Raw genomic sequence first — 20857 nt, 5'->3', positions numbered from 1 at the left:
GATCAACATTGTAAGTAAATATAAGAGATGAAAGTTATTGTCAGATAATTACCTCCAGGACAGATAACTGACTCGGAAAGTCTTTAGATTTGAGATCTCTTGAGCTATGACCCTTATACCAAATTAGGTAAAGAGCTTACGGTACAAAAAAGAAAATTGTAGATCAATCTCACTTAACGCAGATATGAGAGACAAATTCTAGATATATGTTGTATTTAAATGTAAAGAAAACGAAATAATATAATTTCTAGAAGGGACAATGTTATTGAATCTCAATCTGATCGTGGGGTTGGGAAAACCTTTCTAAACATGATAGCAGAGGAAAAACCATAAAGGAGGAGAGAAGGATTTTTGCTACATGAAAATAAAACATATCTCTTTGCTCATTTATTTATTCAGTCGGTTCTCCAACAAATAATCTAGTGAGTGTCTCCTATATGCTGAACACTATTTTAGGTACTTCAAAAACAATACCAACTTATAAGGCAAATGACAAAATGCGAAAGTTTTTCACATCATACGAGGCAAGCAAAGAGTTCATATTCTTCACTTTTATGAGTAATCCTGATCAATGATTAGAAAAAGATCAGCATCACAATTGGAAAATGGGCAACATACATGAACAGCAGTTCACAGACAGTTCACAGCAGTTCACAAAGGGACGTGACACATAAAAAATAGCATACATTGAATTGCAAATGAGACTGGTTGGTGTTGTTGTATCTGAGTGTGCATATTGACATATTCTGGACCAGTGCTCACTGATTCATTCAGCAAACATTTTCTGAACCCTAACTTGCACATGTATTCTTGGGAGGAAAGAAAGGGCATTTGGGTCAACAGTGAAGAGGCCAAGAGTTTGTCTGGAACTGTAAGCAATAAAGAGTTCTTCCTTCTAGCAGATGTGCTTTGAGCCAAGCAAGTAATGAAACCAAGTTGAAATTGAGAGTGTTCTTTTCCTCTCCAAGTACCTGGGGATAAGTCAGCAGGCAGATGCCCTCTGGGGTCTTAACTTCTCCCACGCTGAGACAGGAGCTTAAGTAAACACTGGTGCCCTGTGGTCTCTGATGGAGCAGCTTCTATTGACTCAAGGTTATGTGCTGGCCGGGGGCTCGGAGGTGGTTTTGGCAACTTCCTCCAGCCAGAGGAGTACTTAGAACTGATGAACCACCCTGAAAAAATTCATTTGGGGCTGTAGCTGACTGCTGGGTTTCCCACTGACCCTGGGGTGCTGGGACCCTTTCTAGAACGGCTCACTCCTTCCCCTGTCATCTCTTTTCTTCCCTCTCACCCTTAGACTCACACACAACACTTAGGTGTTTCAAGCATTTCTACTTTTTAGGAATTCATATATGGTTAGAAAGCCTTCCCAGCTGCCAGTATTACGTAAGTGTCCACCTCTATTTTTTCAGTACTGTCAGTTTCTTTATTTCAATGTAAATGTTTAATCCAGGAAGAATTTATTTTTATTATATGTGGAATGAGATAGAGATTCATTAATTAATTCAACAAGATTTACTGAGTCCCTGTTAGGCACCAGGCACTGTTGGGACATTTGAGAAAGACTTTCTTCAGTATTAAACGTCAGATTATATTATGTCCGATAACACCAGATACAAGGTTTTCTGAATGCTTTCCAAATTCATGTATTTTAGGAAAAAAAATAGGAGGACCTCTTGCTAGACTATGAGCTCATTTTTACAAAATGATGTTGTATTTTTCTCCTCTCCTAGACCTTTTAACCTGAATACACACTCTTCCACAATCCCAGTCATTCAGCTCATGCTTTTCTTCATGTGGAATGAGGTTCCTCTTTGACTCCTCACCCACTGCTCACTCTTCTGATGTGCTAAGCTCTTTGACCTACATAGCTCTAGTCAGCGGATGACAGCTTCTCGACATCACACATAGTCTGTGATTAGGAACCAGACCGAAGCAGACGATCTGATTTCATGGCCACCTCTGCTACATATTCGCTCTTGCCCGACCGCAACTTGCTCAACCTCTGTGTGCCTCAGTTTCTGCATATGTATAGAATGCCCTAAAAAGAGTATTCACTCACATGGGGTCTGTGTGAGCGTCAAATGATTTAATTTAATTTAAAGCATTTAGAATAATTCCTGGGATATACGTGTTAGCTATTAATATTGCTATTGCATATTTTGAGGGATCTGTGTTACTTCATGTTTGTCTGTGACTCTGGTACTGATATCTTCTCATTGTTAATGGACTCCTTTAGAGACAATCCCAGGAGCCACCACACCTGTGCACTCAGCTTGGGCAATGGGGAATGTCCCTAGCGGACACCCATGGGTGTGAGGGTAACATTTTTCATTACTTTTCTTGTGGGAAAAGATGCATAACATAATATTGACCATTTTAATCACGCGTAAGGGGACAGTTCAGTGGCATTAACTACTGTACCTTCATAATGTTGTGTAACCATCACCACTAATTATACCTAACACTTTGGAGTTATTCTTAATGTTTTGCAAGTACCTCTGCTTAGAAGAGCCTCCCCTCAACCACATTGGTCTCACACAACTGGTGAGTTCAGCTGCGCCGTCACTTCCTCTATATTGCACCTTCCTTGATTCTCCATCCAGACTTGATTACCTCCACTGCACCTCAGACACTTAATGTATCACAGAACTTACCAGAGTTTAAAATAACTTTATTCCTGAGTTGGTTTTGGCCCATGGTTTCAACCCGTAATTTTGCATCCTGATCCTGACCTAACATATTAGTGACCCTCCCAGGTTTGTAAACACTTGCAGATTTGATTAGCTGGTCTTAATGACCTCAAAGATTCTGCCACACAAGAAATAATGAGAAACTGGCCAGGATATTCAGTGGCACTTTGGTTGACAATACATGAGGAAGGTCAAGTCCATGTCATGTATGTACTTGAACACAGACCTCTTGGTGTACTTATCTTTGCTGAACATTTCTCCTCAGGATTCTCCCTTCCAAGGCCCACCATACTGTAGAGATACAGGACTTTTCTGCTTCTGTTGACAAGCTATAGAAGCAGATCCTGTGGGCCAGGCCATCTTCAGGACAATCACAGGAAGTTATTCCACGCCTTGGACAAGTCCCAACTCTATCTGGCAGGGAGCAGAAGGTTACAGGCCATCAGGCTGAAAGGTCACCGGCAATCCCAGGGCTAGTGGCATTGAGCCAGGATAGAGAGGAGAAGTGTGTAACCTGCTCCTGGAAACTCCCAACCTTTGTGGCCCCCCTTGGCAAGGAAGTAGAAGGTGGAGGGAAAGGGCCCTCTTGAGTAAAGCTCAGCAGAAAATAGAAAATTAACCAGATTTCTGTTTCTTTAATGATGCTTACCTTTTGCAACACATAAACAACCCCCAGCCTCGTGAGTGCGTTCAAGGTGTAGCTACTGGGCAGAGAACGGGAGATCAGCTTAGAGGAGCAGGTCTTGGGAGGTTACCAAAAATCTCTAAGTTGTTACCAAATGCTTTATTTCATTTCATGTTCTGGGACCACATCCAAAATTCCTAGGGGCCTTGCAAGTGGCAGTCAGTAATTGAGTTGTTAGGTTTTCTAAACAGTAACTAGAATCTACTAAGTATATGTCAATAGCAACACAAGAACAAGAAAAACACGGTAGGGGAAAGTTGTCCATAGTCAGAGGAACAGGGGTGAGGAAGGGTGTCAAAGGAAATGAAAAGTCAGTAAATCAGACAAGAGCAATTCTTATTCCTCTTTCCTTCTTTTCCTCTGTGTCTTCTGGACTCCAAAGAATGTTTGCACATGAAGGGACAGAAATATCCAACTTTGCAATACAGAGCTAAATCAGAGGAAATAACTTTGACAGTTCCATGTGATAGAACAGTGCCCAAAGTGCTCTAGCACATGACTGTTTCCCTGCAGATACCCCCACAGCAAACTGCAGAGCGTGGCAGGAGCAACCAGCTTGAAAACTTGCCTGGTAAAGTTCTAAGCTATCTTGAAGGGTCATCAACCAACTTGAACGGGCACATACCCTCTCCTTACTGTGGCTCTGTTTTCTCTCTTCTTTAATTTCAAATAATTTGAAACAATGTTGTTGAACACTGAATGGGGGAGCCATGGGTTCAGATTCACTGTTACTCAGTGAGAAAGCCACTTCATCTGTCTGAGTACCAGTTTCTTTTTCTGGAAAGTTAGGGTAGTAGCTGCCCTGACCACTGCACGAGATTAGGAATGTCAATTGATAAAAACTTGTAGGAGAAAGAAATGTCATCAGTGAAAGCTCATTTGCCCTTGTTCCATGAGGCCCTGATAGCATGTTACACAATAGTATTATCTGCTAATTGCAAACCAGAACCCTGTGATTCAGTCTGAATCCTTTCCTCTCCCTGGTGGCCCACATGCATTTGGTGACCCAGTCCTGTTAATTCTCCTTGCAACTTGTCTGCTACTGCCACATCTCTAGCTTCATCTTCCGTCACTCCAAACCTCTGGCAGTTACGAACTCATCCAGGTGGCACTCATTAACAGCATTTGGCCCAGTTCTTGGTTCATTGCACCGAGCATCATAGGAGCAGGGCCTGGGTCATATTCTTCGCTGTTTCCCTTGCAACCAACCGGGCTTGGTTCACAGTAGGCATTGGATAAATGTCTTTTCACAAGAGCATTGAGTCCATTTACATTTAAAGTAATCATGGGTGCCTTTGGATTAAAGTCAAGCATCTTATTGTGCTTTTTATTTGCCCTATCTTTTCTAGGTTTCTTTTTCTGCACTTTTAAAATTTCCTTTGGATTGAGTGTCTTTTTGTAAACTTACTATTTTGAAATCACTAGATTCACAGGAAGTTGTAAAGAAATGTCCAGGAAACCAGTGCACCTTTTCCCCCCAGTTCCCTCAGTGTCGCCATCTAGCATAATTCTAGTTCGGTCTCACAACAGCAAATGACATTGATACCCTCTAAGAGCAGCTGTAGATGTCACCCCTTACACGTGCATGTGTGTGCATGTGTAGCTCTGTGTGATTTCATCACCTGTGTAGAGTCATGTACCCACCACTGAAACCAATACTGAACTGTTCCATCACAAAGATCCCCTGTGTTGCCCCTTTATAGCCATACTTTAGTCAGTCATGCTGTCCACAACAACACATTGAGTACGTATTGTATGCCAAGACTGTTAAAGATGTTGGAGGTACTTTAGGGACCAAGATGGGCAACGTCCTTGCCTTCACAGAGCATACAGTTTAGGTCAGCACAGGCTAAGATCCCAGGGAAAGTTGGAGCCAGTTGCTGTTTACTGGGTGTGGCTTGGTTTCCAGGATTTCTGTGTTCTATCTGTAACTCCAACTGCTCCCCAAGCTAGTTCCATCTCCAACGTCTCATCAATTTACATTCAACTTGAAAGCCTTTCACAGTTGGTTCAGGTAGGATCTTAGCAACATTTTTTTTTCTCCTTGTTGTCTTTTAATCTGAGGCATCTCCTATACCTGGTCAATAAGGCCACTGAAAAAGCAGCGCAGAAGGAGACCAACACCTGTAAGCAATCAGAACAATCAGAATCTGAGCACCAAAATCCTGGCGCTCTAGGCGCTCTTGGCCAGGACAGTATGAAGCACGTCCATGGGTCAGGAGGGGAAGAGGCCCACACAATTCCTTTTGGCAGATTCAGTCAAAAAGTGTCATTGCTGAAATGACAGCAGTATTGAAGGATCAAAACGTAGAGCTCCAAATGCAGATAGGTATAGGTTCTCCTCCCTCAGCCTGAGTTGGAAAGCCTGGCTCTGAAGGCAGGTTGCTGACCCCTCCTGTGCACATGTGAAGGAAATGATTTCACAGCTTTGGGATTTCACCACCGCAGAGGGGGCAGAGGGCCAATTCTGCTGAAACAAAGGGACAATAATCACTCTCACCAGAAAAGTAGTTTAAATCAGAGGTGTCTCTTTACAGCCTCAGAGATTTTCAGGATGTTTCTCAGTTCATTTCTGTGTCTTTTGACAATGGATACAATCCAGGCGGGCCACTTCAATTTTATTGGAGTGAATTCTGGAGCCAAAGAAGTGAAACTTGCTATAACCCAGCCAGGTTTATTTTACTGTGCAAGTAGAATTGAGTGCAGGAGGAACGTGTCCAAACTTCTAAGCCTTGTTCGTTGTTCAGTTTAATCCTGAACAACATGCTGCAATATCTGGATAGAGTATTTGCTGGTTTTGAGTTAAAACTCTGGTATGATGCCTTGCCTGACAGCCTAAGTTCCAGCTTGGAGACTGTGTCTATCTGGTTCACTGTTACATCTCCAGCTCCTAGCACATAAATATGTGATGAGTACATTCTGGTGATTAGGTTTGCTATAAACTACAATACTAGTCTTGTTCCTCAAGAGTAGTGTTTTAAACCTAGGTCTATGATATCATGAAATCACATGTACAATTCATTCATTCAACAAGTATTTACTGAGCAACTATCCTGTGCCAGGCACTACTAGGCCCAGAGGATAAAACAGTGATCAAGACAGACAAAGTCTCTACTGTCCGGGAGCTCACATTCTAGTGCTGGAGGCAGAGAATGACTGTGGCTGGCCACTTCAATATGGATGATCAGAGAGGGTCTCTCTGAGAGATGACAATTAAGTTCAGGTGTCAATAACAGGAAGCAGAGATCTGCATGGCAGCCATGCAAGGATCTGTGTGACAGAGTATTCCATGGAGAAGGAACAAGTAAGGCAAAGCCCCCAAGATGGAGAGGAGATTCTACATGTTCAGGAACAGCAAAAAGACCAGTGTGGAAGAGCAAGAGAGTGGCTGAGATGTGAAGTGGGAGAGACAGGCAGAGCCAGTTCATGTGGGACGTTCTAGGCTATGTGAAAGAGTTTGGGTTTTGTTATTAATTTATTGGGAAGCCTTTGGAGGGTGCTAACCAAGGGAACAACATGATCTGATTTATGATTTTAAAATGTTATTGACTTCTTTGTTAAGAATGAATTTATGGGGGGAGTTGAGAGTGGATGTGGGAAGACAAGAGGCTATTTCAATTACTCAGGTGAAAGACAATGGTGACTTGGACTAGGGTGGTTGTGGGGCAGGGGTGGTGCATGGAGAGAAGTGGATTGATTTGGAATGTTTTGAAAGTAGAGTCAACAGAACTCACTAGTGGTTTGGATATGGAGAGTGGAAGCAAAGATCACTCCAAAGTTTTTGTATTTACAGAATGGAAGGATGGCGATACCATTGGGAGGTACTGAGAGGCTGGGAGAGGAGAGGGTTAAGTGGCCATGAAATAAAAGCTGCATTTTGGCCCTGTTAAGTTTGACAGACCTCTTAGATATGTAAGTGGAGATGTCAGTTAGATGGTTGGCTATATGGGTCTGAAGTTCATGGGAAAGATCCAGATTGGAAACATAATTTTGTAAACCATCATCAAATAGATGGTAGTTAAGGGAAATGAGACTGGATGAAGCCTCTTTTATTTTCATCTGTGGCCGCTTACTTTTATGCATCGTGATCTGCACCTCTGCACCAAGTCAGGCCTGGTGAATTAGGATCTCTGGAGGTGAGGTCCAGGAATGTGCATTTTTAACAGCTCTCTGGGTGATTCTGGTTATTCCTCTCTTCCCAGGCTTTTCTATCTGTGCTTCAGGTTTGATGATCACTTCTTCAGAGTCTGAGATGTTATTATGCCCATCTAGTGTATTTTTTTTGTTTCAGATATTGTATTTTTTACCTACACATGTTCCATTTTTTTCTTGTCTGTAACTTCCATTTCTCTCATTATGTTCGTATTTTCCTTTAAATCTCAAATGTTATAATAGCTGTTTCAAAGTTGTCTGCTTATTCTATCATCTCTGTTATTTCTAGGTTTCTTTCTATTGACTGATTTTTCCTTTGGTTATGAGTCATATTTTTATGCTTCTTTGCATATTTAGTAATTTCTTGGGTGTTTTCATTGTAAATATTATATTGTTGAGTGTCTGCTTTTGTCTTTCCTTAGAGTGTTGAATTTTTGTTTTGGCCAGCAATTCATTACCTTGCTGATGAACTTGATCATTCCAAGCCTTCTTTTTAAGCTTTCTTAGGGCAAGTCTAGAGCAGCCTGTACTCTAGGGCTAGTTTGGCCTTACTCCTGCTTCTAAGATGTGGCCTCTCTTTGAGTCTCTACTGAATGTTCCAGGTCTCTCCATTATGGCTGATCAGCACTCAAACATCTCCCAGCCCTGTGTGAGCTCTGGCAGTTGTTTAGATTGGGGGTCTTCAGTAGTTGTTTTAGGATGCACCTCATAGGGTTTCACTCTACACACATGAATGTTAGTATTCAGCCAAAGTCTCATGGGGAAACACCTATGTAGATTTGTAGAGCTCTTTCTCTACATAACTGTGTTCTCTGTGGTCCTTTGTCCTGCAAATTCTAGCCACCTCAACCACCCAGAATTCCGATCTCTGCTTTCTCAACTCTGTGAGATAGCCATGGTTGAGAAAGTGCTTACAGGATGAAAGCCAGGGTGATCAGGGACTCACCTCTTTTGCTTTCCTTTTTATAGAGGCCATAGCTCTGCACTGACTGCCATCTAATGTCTATTTCATGTATTTATTTGGTCTAGTTTTCTAATTGGTTTTATGGGTAGGAGGCAAGTTCAGTGTCCAGTACACTAATGTGGCTGGAAGTGGAAGTCCTTCCAGGTGATTCAGATGCATAATAAAGGTTGCAGAGTGTATTAGTTTCCCAGGGCTGCTGTAACAAAGTACCACAGACTGGGTGGCTTAGACAAGAGAGGTCATTATAGTCTCACAGTTCTGGAGGCTGGACATCTGAAATTGAGCTGTCAGCAGATTTGGTTCCTTCTCAAGGCTGTGAGGGAAGGATGTGTTCCAGGCTTCTCTCCTTGACTTGTAGATGGCCATCTTCTCTCTGTGTCTTTTCACGATGTCTTCCTTCTATGCATCTCTGTGTTCCAATTTCCCCTTTTTATGAAGACACCAGTCATATTTGATTATGACCCCACTTTAACTTGCTAAAGACTATTTCCATATAAGTTTATATTCGGGGATACTGGGGGCTTAGGAGTTTAACATATGAATTTGGGGGGGCGGTGACACCTGCCATTGCATAGGACCCACTTCAGCCTTGCAGGTACTCGCACCTTTGTTCACTCCATTAAGAAACAAACTTGGAGATGTTTGTTAACTATGTAATCAGCAAGTTGGATTGTTTTAAGATGAGAACAATGTGTAGCTTTTACTCTCAGAAGAATGGGATTAAACTGTTCTCTAACAATTTTTTAAAAACTAACAAGCCTGTGACCTAAACACACCTTCCTGGAGGAGACTAGAAATTAGCACAAACACCTTTCCACAAGGTTACAGGATATTGCAGGGTTTTGTTGTTAGAGATGATACTGGTCGGTGGTAATGAGTCAGCTTGGTTGCTGTGGCAGGAAAGGCTGATGGGAAGTGGATCTTTCGATGGTCAGAGCTGGAAAAGCCCTCAGAGCTCATCATTGTATAGTATGGAGACATGGGCTCCAGAAGGGGAGAAGCAGTTTCCCCAAGGCAAGTGATGCCATGAGCCCTGGGGGCCAACAGTCACATTGTCATTTTATTTTTATTTATTTATTTATTTATTTATTTATTTATTTATTTATTTAAGATGAAGTCTCACTCTGTTGCCCAGGCTGGAGTGCAGTGGCCCAATCTCGGCTAACTGCAACCTCCACATACTGGGTTCAAGCAATTCTGCCTCAGCCTCCTGAGTAGTTGGGATTACAGGTGCGTGCCATCACACCTGGCTAATTTTTGTATTTTTAGTAGAGACGGGGTTTCACCATGTTGGTCAGGCTGGTCTCGAATTCCAGACTTCAAGTGATCCACCCGTCTCGGTCTCCCAAACTGCTGGGATAACAGGCGTGAGCCACCGCACCCAGCCCACATTGTCGTTTTATAAGTTACTTTTACATTGATAATGTTTTGCCATTGTTTCTCATTGGTTCACTACAATCATACCATAAGGGTGACAGGCCAGGGTTTACTATTTACATTTACAGATGACAGGACTGAGGTTTGCAGAAGTTGAGTTACTCAAGTACTGTGTGCTCAAAGTCACACAGAAAGTAGAATCGGAATTCAAATTCAGGTCTCCTGACTTTCAATTCAGTGCCTCCCCCTGCCCATTTTTGTACTCCATTTCTCTAAGTTACTGTTATGGATACTTGTTTGCATAGTGATTCCGCTTTCTATATCCTCTTGACCCAGGCTCATCTTCACAGTCTATCGTGAACTCTTGACCTCACCCTTTTCCATCTTGGCTTCCCAAGCTGCTCATGACCTACCCAGCAGAGAAGGCCTGAGGGGAGAAGGTGAAGTCCAGTGCAGCTACTTGAAGCCAGCAAGCCTGCAATTTTATGTTTCCATAAAATGCAAACATCTCAGTAAGAAGAGAGGGCAGCCCTCAGGTCCTAACATCCCCACACCCTCTATTCTGAAGTGTTCACCATCATCTTTTGTACTCTTTACTTCCTGACCCATCTCTGAACTTCTTAGGTTCAGACCCCTCTACTTATCTCTTATTTATACTCTGACTCCCTCTCCTCACATCTGGTAGTTGATGCTGGACATTGAGCATAAACCTCTGCTTTCCTTCCTCATCCTGTGAGCTTACGAACTCCCTGATAAACATAGCACCCTTTTTCTTTACATGCACAGTGTCTGGCACATAGTGGACACTCGGTAAATATTGATTGAATGAATCCACAAATGTGCCCTGTACAGAGGAATTGTTTTAAGATTTTTTTTGTCATAAAAGAAAACACAAGGCCGGGCACGGTGGTTCACGCCTGTAATCCCAGCACTTTGGGAGGCTGAGGCAGGCAGGTCACCTGAGGTCAGGAGTTCGAGACCAGCCTGACCAACATGGCGAAACCCCATTTCTACTAAAGATACAAAAAATTAGCCGGGCATGGTGGTGCATGCCTGTAATCCCAGCTACTTGGGAGGCTGAGGCAGGAGAATCGCTTGAAACTGGGAGGTGGAGGTTGCAGTGAGCCAAGATCACACCACTGCCCTCCAGCCTGGGCGACAAGAGCAAAAAACTCTGTCAAAAAAAAAGAAAGAAAAGAAAACACAAATATTGCAAACCACATAAAACAAATGTATTGACAAATAGAACTTTGCCACCCACAACAGAAGTCCCTCCATGTGTCCTTCTCGATCATAACCTCCTTCTTCTCCCCATAAATAACTACCATCCTGACATGTATAGAAATATCTTCTTTGCATTTTTAATGTTTTTATCACTCAAATGAGTATCTGCTAGGCACACTTAAACATTTTGATGTGTCTTTTAAGTATCATTTAATCCATAGATATCTCCTCTGTCCCTTTTTCTTTTCTTTTTAAAAGTAAATTTTATTGTATATAATTTGGAGTTTACAACATGACCTTATAGGATACCAATGGATAGTAAATGGTTACTATAGTGAAGGAAATTAACATACAATCTCACATGTTTACTTTGTGTGTGTCAATAGCAGCAAAAATCTACTTATTTCACAGAAATCCCTAAGGCAATACAATTGCATTAGATGCTGGTTGGATCTTTAGCTGCAGTCCTCATGCTGTACATTGGATCTCTCGACTTGCTCCTCTTACATATTTGCTACTTTGTATCCTTTGACCTACATCTTCCCATTTCCTCCCATCTTGTCCCTGGTAACCAGTTTTTTTTTTATATATTTATAAATATACCACAGTACATTTGACCTTTTCCCCCCACGTACAAAACAGATCATTCAGTATTTGTCTTTCTGTGTCTGGCCTGTTTCACTTAACATAATGTCCTCTAGATCCATCTATCTTTTTGCAAATGGCAGGATCTCCTTCCTTTTTAAGGATGAATAATATTTCATAGTGTGATGCGATGCACATGCCACAATATCTTTATCCACTTATCTGTCAACAGACACCTAGGTTGTTTCCATATCTTGGCCATTGTAAATTAATGCTGCACTGATCATGGGAGTGCAGATATCTTTATGAGAGGGTGATTTCACTTCCTTTGGGTCTATACTCAGAAGAGGGTCTGCTGGGTCAGGGTCTGCTGGGTCATGTGGTAGGTCTAATTTCAACTTCCTTAGGAACCTCCATAGTGTTTTCCATAAGGGTTGTATGAATCTACATTCCCACCAACAGTATACTAGGGTTTCCTTTTCTCCACACCCTCACCAACACTTGTTATCGCTTGTCTTTTTGATAATTGCCATTCTGATGAATATGAAGTGATATCTCATTGTGGTTTTCATTTGCATTTCCTTGGTGATTAGTGATATCGAGCATCTTTTCATATACCTGTTGCTATACTTGAATGTGTCCTCCAAAGTTCATGTGTTGGAAACTTAATCCCTAATGCAACAGTGTTGGGAGGTGGGACCTTTAAGAGATGGTTAGGTCATGAAGTCAGCCCTCATGAATGGGTTTCTGTCAGTGTCAAGGGAGTGGGTTTGTTATCAAGAGAGTGGGTTTGTTCTAAAAGTAAGTTCAGCTCTCTCTTGCTCTTGCGTGCACTCGCTTGCCCTTCTGCCTTCTGCTATGGGGTGACACAGCAAGCAGATCCTCACCAGATGCTGAGCAGATGCTGGTGCTATGCCTTTGGACTTGCCAGTCTCCAGAACCATGAGCAAAATAAACTAATATTGTTATAAATTATCCAATCTCAGATATTCTGTTATGGCAAAAGAAAATGGACTAAGATACCTGCTAGACATTTTTATGTCTTCATTGGAGAAATGTCTGTTCAGATCCTTCACCCATTTTTTGTTTCTTTTTCCGCAATTGACTTGTAAGAGTTCTTTGTAAATTTTGAATATTAACCCCTTAATGTAGTTTGCAAACATTTTTTCCCAGTACATAGGTTGCCTTTTCATTTTATTGATTGCTTCCTTTCCTGTGCTTTTCTTTTTCTTATAACCTATCCATTGAAGAACCTGGGCTTTTGACCTGTAGAGTTTTCTACAGGCTGGCTTCTGCTGATTGCACCCTCATATCAGGCTATCAGAGGCACAAAATGTCTGATTGTTTCTTTTCCCAAGTTAGCAGCTGTTGATGCTTAATGGCTATACCTATTAATTCACTGGGGCTAGCAAATAGGGATATTCTAATTCTGTCATTTGTTTTTCCATTACTGATCAGAATACATTCATAAAGAGACATTCCCTTCATCTACCCAAGTGGGACAGTTCACGTAGAGGAAAGGTTGGATAATGCTTGATTCTTCCCTTTTACTTAAGTAGTTTTCAAGGAAATGAAGTAGTTCCCTTACATCCTCTGAAGATGACAAATTCTTTTGCTTTTTTTTTTTTTTTTTTTTTTTGAGACGGAGTCTCGCTCTGTCGCCCAGGCTGGAGTGCAGTGGCGCGATCTCGGCTCACTGCAGGCTCCGCCCCCCGGGGTTCACGCCATTCTCCTGCCTCAGCCTCCCGAGTAGCTGGGACTACAGGCGCCCACTACCTCGCCCGGCTAATTTTTTGTATTTTTATTAGAGACGGGGTTTCACTGTGTTAGCCAGGATGGTCTCGATCTCCTGACGACAAATTATTTTTCTAATATCATAATGAACTCATGGATTTAAGTGTATTTGATGGATTTCAAGCTACTATAATTATTACACAATCATGCATCATTCAATGACGGGCATATGTTCTGAGAAATGTGTCATTAGGTGATTTAGTCACTTTGCAAACATCACAGGGTGTACTTACACAAACCTAGCTTACTACACACCTAGGCTATATGTTATAGCCTGTTGCTTCTGGGCTACAAACCTGTACAGTATGGTACTATATTGAATACTGTAGGCAATTGTAACACAATGGTAGGTATTTGTGTATCTAAACATAGAAAAGGTACAATAAAAATATGGTATTAAATCTTTTGGGATTCAGATGTCTCGGAGGATTGAAAAAAAATCTTATAGGACCACCATTGTATATTTGGTTCATTGTTACTATTATGTCATGCAGCATATGACTATTTATGAAAGCAAAAATTCTTTCATATATGGCCAGTGGTAGCCTCTTCAGGTTAGCCCCTAAGTCCTTTTGACATGGCCCTCGTCATTCCTTGTGGCATTGTTTCACTGTAAAAAGCTTCACTTTAGTGCTGGCAGACTGACTGCTTTCAGGGGCTTTGTCACATGTCTTCCATTTTCCAGAAGCCTGTAAGCCTGGTGGAACAGAACTATATGTGGCCTCTGGTTTTACCTACTTAGCAAAGAGCTCCAAGAACACCTCACTTCTGTTTTTGCATAATCAAAACTCTTATGTAGAGATTTAAAAACCTAAGGGATGACACACTGGCGATTTTGCATGATTCAGCATCAAGACTATGCTACGTCCTATTTAAGTTACTGTGTGACTGTTCTTTTTCCTTTCCACCCTCATGCCTGCCTTCCAGCCCTGCTGAACTACTTACGCAAAGTTTTGAGCCTTTCCACCTTAATGCCTTTGTGCACGCTGCTTCCTCCTGCCCCACTTTAGCCTTAGCTTAGTCACCACTTCTTCCTGGAAGCCTCCCCAGACAACTGATCTGAGAGAGATGTCTCTTTTGTTTGTTCCCATAGCATCTTGGTTTTGCCTTATCGTAGCACTTATCTCACTGATTGCAATCGTCTGTTTATCCATCTGCTCACTCCCTTGTTGCCCATGAGACTGTGAGTGGCAGGGCATGTGGCTTGCTCACTTCATCTTCCCCAGTATCTGCACAGTGTCCAGCATATTAGTGGGCTATCAACAGGTAATTGTTGAATGAATGGATAAAGCCCAAACTTCTTCATGTCACTCTTCCCATTGCACTCCCACCACTCCTGGTTCATTCTTCTGCTAGACCGCTCACTACGCTGAGTTGAAATCTACCCATATCATAATTCTACCCTTCTCCCTATCCCAGCTAGAGAGTGAGGTCTTTTAGGGACCAGCTCTAATCCCCTTTTCTAGCTTCATTGTCTAGCAGGATGCACAGTGCAGAGTAGGCACTCAAATAAACTCTTGGTGTTACTTCTCTTCCAATATTGTTATTAAAAGATAAGAAATCTATTGTCTCCATAACACTAAGAGCGGTTAATGTGAAACTTGTTTCTGTGCTTAGTTTGACTTCCTCTTTTAGAATCATTTTTGGGAAGTGCAACAAAGTTCCTCTTTACATTTCCCCCACCAAAGTGGCTTTTGGAAAGTTTGGAGCACCCCATGCTCCCTCCCCATGAAAGCTTTCCTCAGCAGGCACAAATGGCATTCTCTCATCCCCTGAGCCCCTTCCCTGGACTAGGCCTTATGTTCCTGTTTGCCTCAGTTGATGCCAGAAGCCCAGGTTTCCCACTTTCAAACCCCACAGCAAAACTTGAGCTCCTTCTCTTATGTTTAGTGGCTCTACTCCCATCCAGTGCCACGTTTTTGCAACAGGAATTTACTGAATCAATTTTTCTCTCCCTCTTGGGTCACCCCCACGAGCATACAAACATGCTGTTATTTTTCCTGTCTTAAAAACATGGACTTAATCACACCACGTTGTTTGTCTCCTGAGATGGTCTCCTTGTTTGACTCATGGCCAGACCTCTTTTCAAAGCTTTATACTGTCTGTAAAGGCAGGAGCAAACCAGGGTTCACCTGCCCCAACCTGACATGGAGTGACTGCCTTCCTTCTGCTTGCTGCCCCTTGCCTCAGTCCTGGAAGGGCTTTTTATTCTAAGGCATAATTGGAGGTCAGTGCTTCTTTGGATTCTCTGCCATCTCAGATTCATGTTCTCTGAGCAGGGAGGGAGCTGAGAATACTCCAAATAGTGTCTTTTCCTTTTTCCCTGGCCTCTTGGTCAAAGCTGGTGGGCTTAAAAAGTATCACACATAAATGAAGCTAGAGATACAAAAGACTTCCTGTCCCAGGGGTCGCTGTACCTCCTGGCAGAACCCCACACTTCCTGCTGTCACACATGCTACCGCATGGGAGAGAAAAACCACAGAGCTATAAATCTCCCTGCGGTCAGCCGTCATCCTTCTCTGTGCTCAATTCCCAACTGGGGCTAATGCCATAGTTCCCTACCGCAGAAAGTAAGGATACGCTATCCATGCAGGCTGGCCTATCTGGCCCTTCGATGAACAAAGGGCACCTAAATGTAAGACAAGGAACTCAAACATTTCCTTCCCCCTGGCTCCATGAGAGGGCAGGGAGGTTTACAGATCCAGGGGACTCCCTAGGGCTTTGGTCAATTGTAAATACCTCTTTCCCCAGGCCAGAGATCTGCACCCTTTCTTTGTACTGAGCCAAGATGGTACTGTCTACATCAAAAATTCTAAGTCAATGGTGAGTGGGAAGCCAAGGAGCCCTAGGTCATTCTCAGTTGTTCTCAGGGCACAAAAAGAGACCTGTCAAATCTTGGCACTGGTTTCTGTGGAATATCATTCTCTTTTCTTTTCTGAGCATGGACTGAGCTTTACCTGTTCATCTGACTTCCAGGCTTGGCTCTTTCCAAGATTCCTATTCCATTAAGGAAAATTCCTTTTTGTTTTTACAGTGTTTCAAAACAGGGGCACTGATAGCTTTAGGCCAATCCTGCCATGCCCCACCCCCCACTCCATCTCCAGCCTTTATAACAAGCAAAACCCACATATTTTCAGATGCTCCCGAGAGGAATTATACCATCCCTGGTTGAAAAACACTGTGACTTAGGGGGTGAATGCTTAAGAGTCTCCCATCTTTAAAAAATCCCTTGACCCCAGAGCTTTCCCCCTTTACAGTCAGATGTTTCTGGAGAGCTGGCTACACTTCCTCTCTCTCTTTATTTTTTAACTTCACATCCATTACCGATCCTTCCATCCCAACCTGAGTTCAAATTCATTCCTACAGTTGTTTAGCTATGTGACCTTGAGCACATTACTTAATCTCTCTGAACCTCAATTTTATCAGACATAAGATGGAGATAGTAATAGTTACCCCTCCCATAGTATAGTTTTAGGGATTAAATGGGTTACAGTAAAGCGCTTAGACAAGGGTCTCTTACATAGGAAGTGTAACTAGCCAAGCTAGTTAATTCTCTGAGAATTCTATTAGTGTTTTAATCATCATTGGGGGTTTTATGGAAGACAATTTGTCACCTTCAGACACTGGCAATCTTCTCTCCTCCTCTCCAATGTGTATGATTTTCCTTCTTGGCCAGTTGTGTAGAACTTAAATAGCAATGTTGGAAGATACTGGGGCAGTGGTGAGCATTTGTGATTTTCATCTGATTTTAATGTATGATATTGGCTCTTGAACTGAGATACATAATAGTAAGAAAGCTTCCTTCTAGTTCTTTATTGCTAAGATTCTTTTAAAGCTTCAGCATATGTTAAATTTGTACTACATTCCTTTGCTGCATCAATTTCAATGATTGTATAATTCTGGCCCTTCAAACTGTGGGTGTGAATCCCATTACTAGACTCTCCAATCCTGACCCGTCCTTAAAATCATCCAATAAAGCGGACTTGAAGATGGGCACTAGTCCTGTAATACAAAGCGTTTCATCATTAGAATGGCTGATTTGTTTCCTTCCTGCTGTCCTTGTCATGACATGGGTTCTTGGCATAGCCTGAGAAACAAGAGAAATTGGTCCAGTAACTCCTTATTGAATTGCCTTTCTGCAGGCCTGGCGCAAGCGCTGGTTTGTCCTCCGGCGAGGCCGCATGAGCGGCAACCCCGATGTCTTGGAGTACTACAGGAACAAGCACTCCAGCAAGCCCATCCGGGTGATAGACCTCAGCGAGTGTGCAGTGTGGAAGCATGTGGGCCCCAGCTTTGTTCGGAAGGAATTTCAGAATAATTTCGTGTTCATTGTCAAGACTACTTCCCGTACATTCTACCTGGTGGCCAAAACTGAGCAAGAAATGCAGGTGTGGGTGCACAGCATCAGTCAGGTCTGCAACCTTGGCCACCTGGAGGATGGTGCAGGTAAGAGCGGAGTTGGGGCTCCCATGTGCTAAGGGGTATCCCAGGACTGGAGGGTTACTGCAGAAAAACAGTTCAAGATGCCAAGCCTGCCTCCTTGAGGGTGTTTTGGCAGGCTAATTTATATCAGAACTGTTCCTACCAAATACAATACTGGAAATTGCCCTCTTTTACCCAGTCCAAATGTGGGAAGGCAGAGTCCATGAGCACACTGAGCATTGCAGGTTACTTTAATGGCTTTAAAACCCCTTCATGTCTTTGCTCTCATTCAGCCACAGTGAAAGTCAAATGTGGATGAGGATGTCTTCCCATGATGCTGACACTCATGACCTTCTAGAAATATCAAATATTGCCATACTTCAAAATATTGTGGAACTCCAGCATTTCTGGTGCCTATTGGGTTGTTCATCACTAAATGGTAGAAAGAGAGAACTTGGCTACTTATCGTAGGCAAGAAAGATTTCCTGATACCTCCAAATGTCTCAAGTTCTCTGCAGAGGAAATTAGTTGTAAGTTTGCTCTGGGCCATTTCTGGGCAGTGGGAGCAATTGACCCATGAAGAGTACCCCAGAGTCTCTCTCTCTCTCTCTCTCTCTCTCTGCCACACGCACACACGCACACACGCACACACACACAACTCATCCTATGTAATTTTCCAGGTATATTGTAACCTAGGGTTACAATTAACTTCCCTTCATGGATTTTGTTGTTGAGCCCCTGACATTATTGCAACATGTCCTATTCCTCAAAATATGAGATTTTGAATCTGGTTTCTTTTAGCCTCTTAGTCTAGTAGACAAAACTTTGCCCCTAAATCCTGTAATCTATAGTTGCTTCAACATTTTAAGAGTTACTGCATGGTTTCCACCATCTGCCACTGAAATATCCACACTCTAACGCTAGGTGGCAATGGAGAGTCAGAATTGAATCTCCCTCCAGGACAGGCACAAGAGTGTGCTTTCTGAGAACACATTCCTTTTCGTTTCATGAACCAGGGAAGCATATTAAGTGAGGCTATTCAATAATATTGCTGAGCATTGGGAGCACTCAAATAAAAGGAAATGAAGTGATGGCAAGTTCTTTATCCTTGGTACAATGGACAAAACTTAATTGGAAAAGCAGCATTAAGTAGGTTCTGGCTAGAGTCTGACATTATGCAAATCAAGCAGAACCTCCCTGACCAACTAACTTCTCCAGCCTTGCTGCTGGCTCTTTACCACCCTGTTGTGCACCTTCAGCCTTAACTAGGTATATCGTCGTATACTGTGTTATATATCTCCTCTGTTTCTTTCCTTATCCAGGAGTTATCCTAAAACATACATATATAATATGTTTCCCAATAACCCAAGAGCACCAGGAATGAGTAAGGCACCAGGCCGAAACTGGAGAGCCTGTCCCGGCATGAAGTTGGAGGAAGCCAGAAAACTCACCTATGACCCTTTCCATTCTCTGTAGCCCCCCGCCTCAGTTTTTAGAACCACATAAGAGCAGGGTCCTCTTCATCTGAGAATTACACCCAAAGGGCTTTCTTGTGACTTTTCACAGAGTGTTTGGTTCTGTCTCCAGCAACCATATAGTAGTCAACACATTGTGTGTGTACCCTGGCCAGGATCTCTGTTGAAATGCTTTTGTATATTAACTTGTCTCATCCCCACAGCAGTTCTATGGCCTATGTGTGATTACTATCTCCACTTTATAGAAAAGGAAACTTGGAGAAGGCAGGCCATGTAGTAATGGCTATGTAGTAGAGCCTGGACTTGAACCTAGTTAGTTCTGGGTCATCCTGACTCAGGAATCCTGGACTATTAACTTGGTTCAAAAGGGAAATAAAAGCAGGCTTTTCATTGGCTGTTTCTGATCTGGAGTTCTCATTGATTCCTGATTCAAATTCATCTTAAGGACCATGTTCTCAGGTGATGGGGAGAATGTTATGCTCCTTGAGAAAAAGAAATGGACTTTTCCAGCCACCACAGCACTGTGTTTCTTTCCTTCCCTTTACTTATAACAGTGATGAACAGGACTCTTTATTTATGTGTTATTTGTCTGTCTTCTCTGCTAGAATCTAAACTTCAATAAGGGCAGGATCTTTGTCTTGGCTGTATTGAGGGTTAGTGGCATTCTGGGCACATGGTAGATGTAATAGGTATTCTATATAGACATATACCTATATAATAAACATGTATAGGTATACATACATATATGCACAAGTACATATATAACTATATGCATGTACTTGTTATGCATATATATATATATATATATATATATATATATATATATATATATGTTTGTTAGTTGAGTGAAAAAACAATGAGGCAAGGCTGCTGCTGAGGGCCATAAAGAAGCTGTGCGTAGATTAACTGCAGATTTTTGGGCCAAGAATGCTGGGTTTTTTACTCTTAATTGATTCAACACTTTGCTCTTGAAACATTGGCCTTCTTTCCCAGACATTGTTTATAGCTTGGGGAAATGGTCTTCTCCATCAGTACAAACACCAGCTGTGATTTGCATCTTCTGTTTGGCTTCTTTGATGCTGTTGGAGAAATTTTGAGTGCGTGTTATAGCCATTCTTAAACATTAACCTGGGAAATGATTTCTCCAGCAGATTCCATGGAGAGCCTCTCTTACACGCCCTCCTCCCTGCAGCCATCCTCTGCCAGCTCCCTTCTTACCGCCCATGCTGCCAGCTCCTCTTTGCCAAGAGATGACCCAAACACTAATGCCGTAGCCACTGAGGAAACCAGAAGTGAGTCAGAGCTTCTCTTCCTTCCAGATTATCTGGTTTTGTCCAACTGCGAGACTGGAAGACTGCACCATACCAGGTATGCTTATGCCCAGGACTCTGTCTGAGCTGGGCCTGCTAGCATGCTCTCTAGAGTCACACTGCCTCCTCTTGCAGTCCGTAGCTGAGATGTGTTCAGTGTGCTTCACCAAATTAGT

At 42.5% G+C, this 20857-nt stretch overlaps 1 protein-coding gene across 13 annotated transcripts in view, besides 3 other annotated features; it reads left to right on the top strand.

Annotated features, from left to right (window-relative positions):
* The window catches only part of GAB3 (GRB2 associated binding protein 3), a 76318-nt gene that overhangs the window by 17621 nt on the left and 37840 nt on the right, over positions 1–20857 (top strand). For 11 of the 13 annotated variants that reach the window (NR_104114.2, XR_938505.2, XM_047441834.1 and 8 more), the window contains exons 2-3: positions 17617–17920; positions 20520–20739. Coding sequence is in view for 11 of the 13 variants with exons in the window: in XM_047441834.1 (XP_047297790.1) it covers positions 17617–17920; positions 20520–20739 (524 nt within the window). In the remaining 2 variants the exon portion in view is untranslated. The remainder of the gene's footprint in view (positions 1–17616; positions 17921–20519; positions 20740–20857) is intronic. The other 2 variants (XM_047441835.1, NM_080612.4) reach the window with 1 other exon arrangement.
* Positions 2898–3192: a silencer, noted in NCBI's record as "tiled region #13577; K562 Repressive DNase matched - State 15:Elon". NCBI's record gives its function as "represses a minimal TATA promoter and a strong SV40 promoter by Sharpr-MPRA in K562 cells {active_cell/tissue: K562}" and the evidence as "EXISTENCE:reporter gene assay evidence [ECO:0000049][PMID:27701403]".
* Positions 14298–14592: an enhancer, noted in NCBI's record as "tiled region #12525; K562 Activating DNase matched - State 5:Enh". NCBI's record gives its function as "activates a minimal TATA promoter and a strong SV40 promoter by Sharpr-MPRA in K562 cells {active_cell/tissue: K562}" and the evidence as "EXISTENCE:reporter gene assay evidence [ECO:0000049][PMID:27701403]".
* Positions 18741–18850: a silencer, noted in NCBI's record as "silent region_21115". NCBI's record gives its function as "represses an Ori minimal core promoter by ATAC-STARR-seq in GM12878 lymphoblastoid cells {active_cell/tissue: GM12878}" and the evidence as "EXISTENCE:reporter gene assay evidence [ECO:0000049][PMID:35858748]".

The sequence above is a fragment of the Homo sapiens genome, chromosome X (assembly GCF_000001405.40).
Source record: "Homo sapiens chromosome X, GRCh38.p14 Primary Assembly".
Lineage (NCBI taxonomy): Eukaryota > Metazoa > Chordata > Mammalia > Primates > Hominidae > Homo > Homo sapiens.
Note: the sequence above shows the minus strand (reverse complement) of the source record. Positions and strands in the feature narration are given on the sequence as shown.